Here is a 14,916-nt window from a genome sequence, read left to right as displayed (position 1 = left end):
TGAAAATATAAAATAATTACTGCAGATGTTGAAGATGTGACTAAAGAGAGACAAATCGTTGTAAAATACTTATTTTCATGTCTACTGAGAACACCACTGTATTTGTATCTTTTTGGAAAAAAAAGTATATCATTTTCATAAAGAGGCTTTGCCCTAATTTGAAAATACCTTAAAATATGTATGTATATATTATATCTATGTTTATATGTATATATGTAATTCAAAGTCTTTAGTAATGGCGATTATGTTAGCTTTACATACGTTTTTCTAAATTATTTATATAGATGCCTTTTATTCTTTCAGAAAGCAAAACTATCTCTCAATATACCTCAGAAACAAAGATGTCTCCATCAAGTTTATACTCACAGCAAGTGCTATGTTCTTCAATACCTTTATCGAAAAATGTGCACAGTTTTTTCAGTGCCTTCTGCACAGAAGATAATATTGAACAGAGTATCTCATATCTTGATCAGGTAACATGTTTTTGTAAAAAACAGTAGCATAAATCATGTTATATAATAGAATGTATCAAAATTATGAGAAAAACATTTGTCAAACACAAGTTTGTTGTTTATGTAGTGCCCCTGAGACTTAGATTTTCAGAGAACCTTGGTGATTATCTCATCTAGAGATAGCAAGTCTAACTTTTTTGTGTGGAGCACCTTGGCCTCCTCATTGTCCCAGGGGCTCCTCCACTGAGAGTCCAGCCATCACTTTATGGATGCAGAAACCCAAGTGCCTTGCTCCATGTCACAGATTTATAGCAGAGACTAAAAGAGCCCCGTCCTCTTAACTCTTTGTCCTTTGGGATATTGACCATTTTCTTAACTATTTCAAGATAGTTTTCTATTTTTCTAAGAAAAGATTTCTATCTTTTGATTTTTTTTTTACTAAGTTGCCCAGTAACCAACCTTTTAAAATAATTCACATTTATTTTTAATTTTTGACAAAAATTATATATATTTGTCATGTTCAACATGATGTTTCATAATACACATTGTGAAATGGCTCAGTGTGCATACCTCCCATACTTATATCATTTTTTGTGGTGAGAATTTACTTGCTCAGCAATTTCAGGAATATAGTACGTAGTTATTAGCTGAGGTCACCGTGTTGTACAATAGATCTATTAAACTTATTCTTCCTATCTAACTGAAAGTTTGTATCCTCTGACCAGTATCTCCTCAACTGTAACCAACTTTAAGAAAACATTTTCTCCTACCAGGAATTGACTACTTTTGGTTTTCCTTCATTATATGAAGAATCCAAAGGTAAAGAGACAAAGAGAGAGTTAAATATAGTAGCTGTACTAAATTGTATGAATGAGCTGCTTGTGCTTCAGCGGAAGAACCTTCTAGCTCAGGAAAATGTGGAGACACAGAATTTGAAGCTGGGAAGTGATATGGACCATCTACAGAGCTGCTACTCAAAACTTAAGGTAGAAATTGCAGATCCATATTTTAATGCCATAATTATATAATTGAGTACTATAAATTTTTACTGACTTTATTAAATATTTCAGGGTTTTCTTAAGCTTTAGGGTTTTCTTTTTAAACAGGTAAGTAAAAGTGAACTTATAATTTACACACATCTGCTTCCTAATACCTACAGTATATTGAAGGCATTAATTTTTTGAGCTGTTTAATGACTTGCCGAATCTGTAAAAAGTTAGATTAGGAAATATTTATGCTCTGGGAAAATAAAATAACAATTCTGTCACCCCATCCAATCTTGGTTAAGAAAGTATATGCTTCATTTAAAAGTCTTATTGTAAGAGGCTGCACAGGTTAATTCCAAGAAAAATATTATTGAGGCATCTGTGATGCCAAATGAGCTAAGGCTCAATAATTAAATCAGACTAGATAACTTCCCTTAGAAGCCCTGGGTCTCTGGAAAAGACTATAGAAAAATGCTTTAGTAAACTTGCTTTTCTCTTAAAAAAAAAAAGGAAGTATTTTTCACAGGACCATTGAACCTACTAACTTTAAAATGTAGAATATTTGATGCTGGTTTCTATTTTGATTTCTTTCTTTTTCTTCCTTTTATGTTTTCATTTTTATTTTTAAAATGTTTATCCAAGGAGAAGGGAACAAGGTGTTCAAAATCGTGGGGTGGTTGGGACTTATAGTTGTATATTATTAAGGGTATAATATAAATCAATCCAAGTCAAATTTTTTCCTAAATATACAATTCTATATTGGGTTTTGTTATTTGTGAAAATCAAAGCCTTTGCATTTGCATACTGTCAGATGATCAGCTTTCTTTTAGTTTTTCATCTGTTGGTCCATGCCCGTTTACTTTTCCTTATTTTTCTTTGTGTACATCCTCCCCCACCCCACGCCATCTAAGAAAACAATAAAAAAAACCCACTCAGAATCTTGAATCTTTGAGCTCTGTGAGGGAATAATAGGACCTGTCTATAGAATATTTAAAAACCCCCTAGCAGGAAATGTGCTGTAATGATGTGGCATAGAGTTGGCCTACATGGGAACACTAGAAACACTTGGGGATTGGTTTAGAGACATCTTTGCTCTTTACGAGCACCTGTGCCTACCATCCTGTCATTGATAATGCTGTCTTATGTTGTCTTCTTGGTTCATACACAATGATAAAAGTGTGTTTTCTCTTAATAATGTTTTTAGGCTTTTGTGCATCTTATATTCCTAAGGGATAAAGATGATCCAGCTATGTGTCTTGGCTGACTGGGGAACTGTGGTAGATTGGAGAGGGTATTTGGTGCCCCCTAGGCTTGTGAAAAGGTTATGAGTTATGGATGCTACTTTAATCCAGATCAGAGAGACCTATGGAAGGTCTTATTAAGTACTGGGCTGATGCAGAGTTGTAACCCTTGGCCACATGTCTTATAAGTAGCTAGTAAATCATTATGATATGTTGGTGATCTGAGGCTATTGAGCCTTTACTTCAAGGAGTGGTCCCATTTATTAGGACTACCCAGAGCAGAGACTGTTTCTTCAGGATGTCTTCTAATATGGGATTTGACCTGGGCCAGAATCTTGTTATTTTGGGTCAACTATGGACAGAAATGTGTATTCAGTGGGGAAAGTTGCCAATCTATCTGGAAAAGTTTCTAGATCTAGCATATGATTAATCCAACTTGTTGAACAAAATTTATTGAGTATATGCTAGGCACTGAGTTTCAAAGATGAGTGAAACCCCAGTCCTAGGTCACGAGGAGATTGCAGTCCAGGGAAGGGAGACATATTGAAACATAACTGTTTGCTTCATTAATTGTTCTTGGGGTAGGACGCAAGGGAAGGCTTCATGGAGAGGTAACACCTGATCTGAGATTGGAAGAATGAGTAGAAATTTGCTAGTGTTTGGAAATGTCATTCTAGGCAGAGTATATGACTTGTGTAAATGCGTAGCAGCATAAGAGATCACTGCACTTTAGAGGAACCACAAATATCTCTGTTGGGGCTGCGATGGGTATGTGATGGTATGAAGAGTGGTATGAGGTAAGGCTGGAGCCTCATCTCCTGATGGTGTAAAAGGAATTGTACAAAAACAGGGAAGCACTGAGGAGTTGTAAACAGGAGGAAGACAATGTGTAAATATTCTGGCAGTGGGGTGGAGAAATTATAGGGGAATTGCAGACTTGTATTTGGGATGGAGTTAGGGGGCTCAGAAAGCCCTGGTGATAAAGATGCCTGTTAGCGACCCTTTGCTGAGGTTTTGGACTTGAACTAAGGTAGTGCTAATGGGAATAGTAAGTAAGATTGAGATCTGACGAACACTTAAGAAGTAGAATGGGTAGGATTTTATGAAAAATTGAATTTGGAGACTAGGGGTCATGGATTCAAGACCCCATTCAGGTTTCTGCCTTGAGTTACTGAGGATGGCGATGTGATTCACTAAGAAAGGAAGGAGGGGTGTGTGCAGATGTTCAGGGGTGGTGCTGAGTTCAGGTAAAGTGTTGATAATCATGCTGAGTGAATTTCTGATTTGACATATATGCTACATATCACCTGGCCTAGTGCCTGTAAGTTATGTCATGCCAACTGATCTACCCTAGTAGTAAGTTTTACACATTCAAAAAAAAAGGTTGCCAAAAACTGACAACCTTAGAGTTATCCAGGTTATACTCCTACATTTTCTGTACCTTCTTGAGATCTGTTCTTACAGAAATTGTGCAAGTTATTATTTATGGTCGGTTAAGACATAATTTGATTGGCTTTTGAATTTTATAAAAATATTAGTACAATTTTAAAAATATTCCATATGGGTGGCCTCATGCAGAACTCGGCACAGTTCCTCAGATGCGATAAGTTGAAAAGGAGCATCTTGTTTCATACTAATTCTGGCTTTGCTGCCATTCCGCTCTGGGAAGTACCTTCAGAGACTTTACCACTTGCAGGGAGAAGTGGTGTCACACAGAAGTCCCATTTCTGTGACTTGATGTGTTGCCACTTTGCTTGGTCACCCATCTTTTTCTTCAGACTTAGCTCCAAATCACTTTTGCTTCTTTTTCAAAGCCAAGTATACTCTCGAAGGATGATGACATTGCTGTACTTGAGGAGATCTTCAAAAGTGTGGTATAGAAGTGTTAAAAAGTATTAAAAATAAACTTTAAAAATATTCAGGGGCAGCATCATGGAGTGATGCTCTTTCCAGGGATCCATTTTGAAGCACTTTTGTATATGTGTACAAAATTTGATATGTAGATTAAAATTTGATGTGTAAGTTTAAATGTTATTTTATAGTGTGCTTTGTAATAATTCCTTTAAATAAACATTTCATGTGCCACTAACATTTGATTTTGACTAATAAACACTAGGATGTATAACTTCTTGTTACTGATATTTTAAGGATTCAGTTATTCTAAATCCTTTATTAATTTTAAGCAAAATTGCTTATAAATGTTTTAGGAACAACTGGAAACCTCCAGGAGGGAAATGATTGGGCTTCAGGAAAGAGACAGACAGTTACAATGTAAGAACAGGAATTTGCATCAGCTACTAAAGAATGAGAAAGATGAGGTGAGTTGTCAGTTATTGCAGATGAAGTTTAAGTGAATTTTTGTTTTCTTTGTAATATGAGATGACCATAAGAGCCACTTTACTTGAAAAAAGAAAGAACCATTTATTCATCTTTCCCCAAATTGATATGGTGGACCTTTGTGTAATAGTATTTAACTGGAAGCTCAGGAACCCTCTCCACTACAGACCCCGCCCCCAGTGGATCCATTTGGCTTAGATATTAGTTCATAGCTGGTAACAGCCAGTGTCCTGGACTGCCCTTCCTGGACTCATGTTCACTGTCACTTTTTCTTAGGCACAAGAGTGCTTTAAATGCAGATCTTTTATTCTCTGCTGTACCTGTACGTGATAGCTGAGGTGCCCCTTCTTGCATGCACTGTCTTAAATATTGACATTGTTCGTCTAGTCAACCAGTTTCTTCATTAAATGGGCACAGAAGCAGTTCACATTAAAAATCTAATTTCTGACACAAAAGATACAATTCTGATTTCTGCTTTAGTGGTTACTTAGCAGAATTCTAATTTCTACTTTAGTGGTTACTTGGACCTATAGCACTAATGCATTTCAAAATATATTTTTTAATTTGTGTAGAAAGAAACTATTATGTTTTTATTGCTCTAAAGTATGACCCCTGACCATGTAATAACTATAAAAATATAATACTTAGTTTCAGTGTTTTATATGTTGTTTTAACTACAATTAAAGACTTCTGAGGAGTGTATTTCTTTAAAGCGCCCTGGAGTGGTTTAGATAGATTTGTTTTACCATATTTGTTTATTTAGTAGTATATTTAGTAAGTAGTAGGTAATTAGTATTTAAACTGTAAGGTTGCTTGTACGTGTTTCCTTGAGTTCACAGACAATTTTGACTAGATCTGTTGATTATATTTAAACGGTTTGAATACAGCTCATCTTCGGTAGGGATTAAGTTAATCATGTTGATCCCTAGCAGGGACTGGGAATGGCTTTATAAAAGAATAGGACATACTCTGTCAGGAGTTGCCTGAGAAACTATAATAGATCTAAATTTTGAACAGCAGTGTCTGGCACCTAGTAGATACTCAGCAAATATTTGGACTGGATTATTCTGCTGTTTGGACTTACTCTTACTCGAGAATTGTTTTTAATTAGAAAAACGAGCCTGCTTACCTGCTGCCATGTGTCACAGGCTTAATTCACTTTGTCACAGATTAATAAAAAGTATAAGTGATTGTAAGTCAGTAATACAAGGAGTTCACTAAAAATGATCAGATGAATTCTGTTTATCTCAGATGAAGTTTTAATCGTTTTAATACTTCCATAAGAATATCTGGTTTTTAAATGATCAGAGTCTATATGTAAGGTAAAAGGTATAGGAGATAATTTAGAAAATTAGCGCTTCTGGAAATTTCAGAATTAAAAAAACTTTATGTGATTCATATAATATTTAAAAAAGTGGTTTCTACTGGTTACAAATAAGGAAGAATCATCCTAGGATTTTAAAACCTATATGGGGAGATGAATTTTAGGATTTTTCTCTTTCAAATTTGTGAATCGTTACTGGGCTTATAATAGCAAATGCCTTTTTCAGGTGCAAAAATTACAAAATATCATTGCAAGTCGAGCTACTCAGTATAATCATGATATGAAGAGAAAAGAGCGTGAATATAATAAACTGAAGGAACGTCTACATCAACTTGTTATGAACAAGAAAGATAAGAAAATAGGTAAACAGCTGGCAAAGATCAGCTAAGAGAATAAATAAGCTAATACTATGCTTAGAAATAATTGTAAAAGGATTGAACACAGTAACTCACGAAATGTTATTTTCATGCTTTATACAATTGATTTTCAGTGGTGTTTGTTTATATAAAAAATGTAGACAACTGGTTAGTGGAAAGTAAGTCATTCTGCCTTGCTTTATTTAATTGCATGTATTTTTTAACATGACCAGTGTAGAATTAATCCATAGAGGAAAACTAAGCCAGAGGACATTCTAATTTTCCATAGCAAAGAACTGATAATATTAAAAATCAGTGTCAGTTTCTGAGTATCAAAAGAAGTATTTTAGAGTAAACCTCATAAAATTTTTCATCAGACCAAATCGTTCATGTCAGTTTGAGTTCCTTTAAATAAGTTTAGCTGTACATTTTTGGAGCAGCTAGTCAAAAGGATGGACTATAAAAGTTAGGCGTGTGTGTGTCTAAGGTATACTTTTTTCCTAATAGTAGTCTTTTTCAAAACTTTAAGCCATTTCATCCAAATATGTGGATAATTTCAAGTAGATAGTGTAAATTAAAAAGCAAAGAAACACGAAAGTAGAGCTTTACAATACAGTTTTGCTGGCCTGGTATAAATACGAGGCACAAGAAGTGTGTGTATTTATTTATTGAAGAGTGGTTTCCTAGTGACTATAGGTAGTCCTCTAACATACATTATACCGTGACACCCCTAAACTGTCTTACCTTAGATTTGAAAAACAGGCGATGAGCGTACGTTTCAGGCTGTCATGTGGTAGACTCTGCCTGCTGTCAGCAAGCAGTTTAGTGTTGACTACATCACTGTCATTCTGCAGCAGAGCTGTTGGAGGTATCTGAATACTTTATTTTTTAAATTGTTGAAAAATAGAAATGAAGATTCAGTAATGCGCCGTTAAGATTGGAAATCTTTAGGTATCCTGAGTTAATCTTACTCATTTGGAGAATCATTGGTTTTTAAGTTTAGTTAGCCTCATATTCATTCATGAAGGAAAAAAATTAAAAAGCAGGATGAAATGCTGAAAGTATAAAGTGTAACACAGAGAAGTTTATTAAGGATTTAGTTCTGGAAACAGAGCTCTTCCATTATAGCGGTCTGGCTGTTTCCTGGTCCAATCGGAAGTGACAGTTTCATAATGATTTTATTAACTCTAAGATTATAATAATTTACTCTTTTTCCTTTTTACGCCAAATGTTTCCATGTCCACCTGCAGCAGAAGATATTACTACTATCAGGGGCTTTGACTCCTTTGATGAAAATGATGATGTTAATGTTAACAGGACATGGCAAACTTTTTCTGTATAGATCCATATAGTAAACATTTTCAGCTTTATGGGATCTACAACTTATTTGTTGCACCTACTTATCTCTGCCATTGTAACAAGAAAAGTAGCCATAGGCAGTATATAAACAAGTAGATGTGGCTGTGTTCCCATAAAGCTTTATTTACAAAATCAGGCAGCCAGCCTGTGGGCCATTATCAGGCAACCCTGATAATGAAATTAATAATGATAAGGTAACATTTATTAAGTACTTACTGTGCGCCAGATACTGTGTTCACTCTACTGTGTTGGGTGCTTTAATAGTTATTTCTTTGTCTTCTCAACAACTCTTTGGTAGATACTTTTGTTATTCCCAGTGTCCAAGAAGAAACAGGCTAAGCAGTTAAATAATGTGCCGAGATCTCATTGCTTACAAGTGGTGGAACTAGAAACTCGAAAATTAGGCTGTTTAAGCCCAAATCCTAACCTATATACCAGGTTCACTTTCACCACTTACGTGTATAGAATGCATTAGAGTTTTAGATGCTTAAGCATGTATGGTAAGAATTAATTTTATGTGTTCATGTTTGTAGCTATGGACATTTTGAATTATGTCGGGAGAGCTGATGGAAAAAGAGGCTCCTGGAGGACTGGTAAAACTGAAGCCAGGTAAAGTCCAGTTTAAATTGATAAATGTAATCAGACTTCCTTCTATCCTGCATTTTCATACTGACAGTTTCTTTCTCAGGAATGAAGATGAAATGTATAAAATTCTCTTGAATGATTATGAATATCGTCAGAAACAAATCCTAATGGAAAATGCAGAACTTAAGAAGGTTCTTCAACAAATGAAAAAGGAAATGATTTCTCTTCTTTCTCCCCAAAAGAAGAAACCTAGAGAAAGAGTAGATGATAGTACAGGAACTGTAAGTGGCTCTTTCCTCTCTAATACAGTCTTCAGATTGCTAATAAGAATAATTAAAATATGTGGTAGGCATTCTCAATGGGGACACTATTGGTATTTTGAATAGGACACTCAACTGCTATGCTACTTTCAATTACTGTGACAACTGAAAAGACTGTTCCTATGTGTTTTCAGACATTTCCTGAAAAATGCTGGAGATGATTTTCCGGGGAATTAATACATGTCAAGCACTGTTAAGAAGTGCTTTATAAGCATTGTCTCATTTTATAATATTCCTCATAACATATGAGATTATTTCATATATTATAATTTGATGATTTAGATACTATAAATATCCCCATTTTATAGATAAGGAAACTAAGGCATAATATTTAGTAGCCCAGTATCACACATGACAGTGCTAGGATTTGAATCCAAGTTTCTCACTCCAGAGCTCACAATCATAACCACTATGTCAAATATCCTTTCAGTTGTTTTAGTATTATGTACTCTACTTTTCACAGAGTGAAACTTCTGTTAACTTTGGGAAACAAATATAAATTTATTGGGTGTTCTTTATGTTCTAGTCTCTGGAAAGGAAAGGCTAAAAAGATTTTGACTTTTTCCCTCAAGAAGCTCTTTTTGGGAAAGACAGACGTGGAGAAGTGATTATTACATGTGTTAGGTGCTGTAATAAGGTGGTACAATGTGCAGAACAGAATAGTTATGGCAATCAAGGCATCACAGAGAAAGTGACATTTTCACTGCTTCTTAGAAAATAAGTATTTTTGAGGTTAAAAAAAAAAACATGGAGAAAGCATTCCAGAGAATGGGAGTAATATATGCAGAGATCTGAAAAAAAAATCACATAATGGTGAAAAGTTCATTTTACTTAATTGCTTTACGTATAAGTTAAAATCGTAGGTTTCAGCAAGTTCACATTAGTGATAAAAATCTGAAAATAATGTTGATGGAAAATGCTAGTTAACAGCAAGATACCAGAACTTGTTTTTTAAACCTGTATTTGAGGATTATTTATTTTGTGGTATCACAAATCAGTCCAGCTGATAAGCCCATCCCAGCACTTACCTTTTTTTCTCCTTAACATTTAAAAAAAAAAATTACCTAAATTTTTTTTTTTTTTTTTTTTTTAAGAGACGGAGTCTTGCTCTGTTGCCAGGCTGGAGCGCAGTGGCACAATCTCGACTCGCTGCAACCTCTGCCTCCCGAGTTCAAGTGATTCCTCTGCCTCAACCTCCTGAGTAGCTGGGACTATAGGCAGCCGCCACCATGCCCGGCTAATTTTTTTTTTTTTTTTTTTTTTGTATTTTAGTAGAGACGGGGTTTTACCATGTTAGCCAGGATGGTCTCAATCTCCTGACCTCGTGATCCGCCTGCCTCAGCCTCCCAAAGTGCTAGGATTACAGGCGTCAGCCACTGCGTCTGGCCTTTTTGAGAGAGAGTTTTGCTCTTGTTGCCCAGGCTGGAGTCCAGTGGCACCATCTCACCTCACTGCAATCTCTGCCTCTCGGGTTCAAGCAATTCTCCTGCCTCAGCCTCCAGAGTAGCTGGGATTACAGGCATGCACCACCACCCACGGCCAATTTTGTATTTTTAGTAGAGACGGGGTTTCTCCATGTTGGTCAGGCTGGTCTCAAATTCCCGAATATCTTTTACATTCTCCATTTTGAGGCCTGCTTGACCTCTTATATGTAGTTAACCTCTTATCTCAAACTCTGTCACTTCTAGTCAGTTCTTAGCATTCACTAATACTTCTTCAAGGTTAGCATAGTGTCCATTACTACTGCAGCATCTTCAGTTTTTGGTCCAACCTTAACGTCTCATCATCAGATTTCAGTTAGCAAAAGTATGTGGTAAGTCAGGGAGATCTTTCTTCAGTGATTAAACCCTCCTCACCCCCATTACTCAGCCAGTGGGTAGTATCCTGTATAATTCTTCATAATTCACATGTTTAAGTGGATGAACAATGACCTCTTAAATATATATTCTAGTTTTAAAAGATCCATTTTTCTAGCTCCCTTTTCTCTTTAATTTTTGTAGGGAAAGATTTTTGAAGCATTATAGCAAGAGAAATAAGATGTAATGTTGGAATGCCTAGGTAGCATCCACATTTCATTTATTATTTGACCTACTTACTTGTAAAACATATACCGAAAATTCAGGTAAAATGAGTTTGTTGTTTTGTTTTTTGGTTTTTTAGAGGCAGGGTCTTGTTGCCCAGGCTGGTCTCGAACTCCTGGGCTTAAACAGTCATCCCACCTTGGCCTCACAAAGTGTTGGGATTACAGACATGAGCCACTGTGCCCAGCCGAATTTTTTATTTTCATTTTGTGGTTAGAGAGTTCTGTTCAATCTGAGAAATGTGCAATAATTATTCATTTTTCTTTCTTTTTTTTTTTTTTGAGATGGAGTCTCACTCTGTCGCCAGGCTAGAGTGCTGTGGTGACATCTCAGCTCACTGCAACCTCTGCCTCCCGGGTTCAAGTGATTCTCCTGCCTCAGCCTCCTGAGTAGCTGGAAGTACAGGCATGCACCACCACGCCCAACTAATTTTTGTATTTTTAGTAGAGACAGGGTTTCACCATGTTGGACAGGATGGTTTCGATCTCTTGACCTCATGATCCACCCACCTCTGCCTCCCAAAGTGCTGGGATTACATACAGGCATGAGCCACCGCGCCCGGCCAATAATTTTTCTAACAGATTGGTAGTATTCTAATAGGCTTTAAAATGTTCAGAAGAGAAGCTGTGCTTCCTTGGAAGAGTTACTGGCAAGTAGCTTTTGAGTATTGGCAGGGGCTAGAATCACCATGAGCCGGATCCTGGGCCATTCCCCTGTCTGCTCCGCCTCAGAGACCCTGACCTCTGCTAGCCCATTGCTGACCTCAACTACTGATAGAGTTCTTCAGACTCAGTTGCTCCCTCATCCTGCTGATCTCCATGTGCGAGCAGTCGAATCAGCCCTTCTTTCTTTTCATCTTTTATCTTTCTTTTTTCCCCAGCAAGATTTTTATTGTTCAAATTAGTGAAGTATATCTCTCTGCCTTCCTGAATATTAATGACAAATTAGAACTACTTTATGTAGATGTGGGTTATTATGACATATATCCCTTTTAGTATTGTTTCCCCATGTTCTTTATCCTGCTTTGATTCTGTGTGATCATATATCAGTAAAGTTTGCTACTTCTTTATGATTTCATGTTTGGCAGAATACAAAGAAAAGTATCTCCCGTTATATAAAAAAGTATATGAGGAAAATAGAATTAACAGTTGCTTTTATTAAATACTTCAGAGATTATTTCACAAGTGCATTTCTTTAAGCAGCCTAGGATTAGAAACAAGTTGATCTAATGTCAAATATCAGTTCTGCCTCTTAGTTGTAATGCTGCTTCTCTAAACCTCGGTTTTCCCACATTGTAATGAGCTGAGGGTTAAATAACGTGAAAACATCCAACACATTAGACAGGTAGTGATATCTCCTTCTCAGACAGCTTCATGACTCTTGTCATTAACTGTATTTGGATTCAAATTCAGGTTTAGAGAGAGCTGAATTTAGGAGTCTCATTTTTTTTCTCAAGACATTTAAATACTGGGCCATATATGCATAAGACACAGCACAGAAATGATTTTGATGTGGCTTCCTCTGGTAATCAAACTGAAGACTACTTGCCTGAGCATCTAAAGCCATTGTAAGGTACTAGCCTTTCCTCTTCATCTCTCTCCGCTTGTAGGTTATTTCCGATGTTGAAGAAGATGCCGGGGAACTAAGCAGAGAGAGTATGTGGGACCTTTCCTGTGAAACTGTGAGAGAGCAGCTTACAAACAGCATCAGAAAACAGTGGAGAATTTTGAAAAGTCATGTAGAAAAGCTTGATAACCAAGGTAACCACTGCTTCTATGCATGTAAAGTGAGTTGTGACATTTGGTAAGGTGTTGATTTTTAGTCACTTAGAAAGCCGCATTATAGGCTCAGAGCTAAAGTACTATACTTCAGTTTGGTGGTTTGAAAGCAAGATTTTGCATACATTTATTTTTTCATTTTATTTTATTTTATTTTACTTTTTGAGACAGAACCTTGCTCGGTCACCCAGGCTAGAGTGTAGTGGTGCCATCTCGGCTCACTGTAACCTCCGCCTCCCAGGTTCAAGTTATTTCTCCTGCCTCAGCCTGCTGAGCAGCTAGGACTATAGGCGCACATCATAGCCAGCTAATTTTTTGGTGTGTTTTTAGTAGAGATGGGGTTTTGCTGTGTTGGCCAGGCTTATCTTGAACTCCTGGCCTCAAGTGATTCACCTGCCTTGGCCTCCCCAGAGTGTCTGGATTACACGTGTGAGCCACTGTGCACAGCCGACATTTTACATACATTTAGATGTGAGGTTTGAACCTCACTGAGAAAAATACACTTTGGTCTCAGAGTGAATGTTTGAAAAGAGGACATCATGGATCCATCTGCTCTGGATGCAGTATACAATCAAATAAAGATAACTGAGTTGGGATAAAAGACTACACATTGGGTGTAGTGTACACTGCTTGGGTGATGGGTGCACCAAAATCTCAGAAATCACCACTAAAGATCTTATTCATGTAACCAAACACCACCTGTTCCCCCCCAAAAAGAGAAAACTGAGTCTCTTTTACTGACTCTCAAAAATCAAGAAATATTTATCGTAGTATAGATAGGAACATTTTGCTTATTTCTAGATGCTTGCAGATTACTATGTTCCTAGTAATTCACTTAAAATTATTTTTAAAATAATAGATGTTTAATGCAAAATATTAATTTGGAAGTATATAAAGTAGAATATCCTGGTCTCTATTCCATACATATAACACTTAACAGTTTGGTGCATATTTTTCTATACTTTCCTCTATGGATTTGAAAGATACTTACTTTTTTTTAAATTTTAAAAATTGAATATTACCTATATTTTTCTTTAGTGTGCTTTTTTCACTTAACTATTATCCTTATACATAGCTCTACATTGATGAATATATTCTTAATATTTTCTGCTTGGTAAAGTTTGAATGCTTTTAAACTAGGAAAATGAAGATTTCTGCTCAGTAAATGAAGCCTATTTAAAGAAAAATTTAAATTGTCAAAATATGAACTCAGTGCCATTGTGTTAAGTATTAGTAAAGAGCAATCAGCAAAATTATTATTACAGCACCAAAATGAATCTACATGAGATTTTGTTCATTTGAGTCAATGCTGTTTATTATCAAATAGCAAGTATGTTTGGACTTCGTATTTGTTGAATTTAATATTTGAGAGCAAGATTTGTGACACTTCATTGATCTTTGAAGCAGTGTCAACAAAAACATGATTTTATTTTTCTCTTCTCTGAATATGGCCATTTTGTCTGTTTTTAATTAGGACATAATCATGAATAAATATGGATTACAAATTGTTGGCAATAGAGCTCTGTTTGTAAGCATATCATTTAGTCTTAAAATTGCACAAATGTGTAATTGTCGTCATGAACTCCTGTAGTTGCTTTGCTTAAACATTTTTTATAATGTTAAAATAATATAAATTTAATTTTGTTATAGCTTATGAAATTTTAAAAAGTCAAAGGACGTAACTACTTTTTAGAAAACCTATAAAATTCTAGAAAGATAAAAGTTCTGAGAGCCCTTGTTTTAAAGATATGTGCAAAACACTGTAAACTAAGTGGTGGCTATAAGACCTATGTCAACTTACTGATTTTGTCTTAGTTTCAAAGGTACACCTGGAAGGTTTTAATGATGAAGATGTAATCTCACGACAAGACCATGAACAAGAAACTGAAAAACTCGAGTTAGAAATTCAGCAGTGTAAAGAAATGATTAAAACTCAGCAACAGCTTTTACAGGTGAATATGAATTACCTTTTAAAGCTGTTCTCCATGAAAAGCCAGAATTGTGCTGAACCTTACCAGATTTGTATTCCTTTATTTCATAAGGCCCTGGTATTTGACAGATTTCTAGTCTGTGTTCCCTGCTAACAGATACATTGTG

The 14,916-nt window shown here is 35.8% G+C and overlaps 1 protein-coding gene across 36 annotated transcripts in view; it reads left to right on the top strand.

Moving 5' to 3' along the window:
• The window catches only part of SSX2IP (SSX family member 2 interacting protein), a 47,040-nt gene that overhangs the window by 19,627 nt on the left and 12,497 nt on the right, over positions 1–14,916 (top strand). For all 36 annotated transcript variants that reach the window (XM_047444269.1, XM_047444234.1, XM_005270428.3 and 33 more), the window contains 8 exons: positions 304–473; positions 1,226–1,438; positions 4,887–4,997; positions 6,567–6,702; positions 8,589–8,664; positions 8,744–8,921; positions 12,651–12,801; positions 14,635–14,771. In XM_047444269.1, the coding sequence (XP_047300225.1) occupies positions 304–473; positions 1,226–1,438; positions 4,887–4,997; positions 6,567–6,702; positions 8,589–8,664; positions 8,744–8,921; positions 12,651–12,801; positions 14,635–14,771 (1,172 nt within the window). The remainder of the gene's footprint in view (positions 1–303; positions 474–1,225; positions 1,439–4,886; positions 4,998–6,566; positions 6,703–8,588; positions 8,665–8,743; positions 8,922–12,650; positions 12,802–14,634; positions 14,772–14,916) is intronic.

This window comes from Homo sapiens, chromosome 1, assembly GCF_000001405.40.
Source record: "Homo sapiens chromosome 1, GRCh38.p14 Primary Assembly".
NCBI classification, from domain to species: domain Eukaryota; kingdom Metazoa; phylum Chordata; class Mammalia; order Primates; family Hominidae; genus Homo; species Homo sapiens.
The sequence above is the reverse complement of the archived record's forward strand: the minus strand, read 5'-3'. Positions and strand labels throughout refer to the sequence as shown.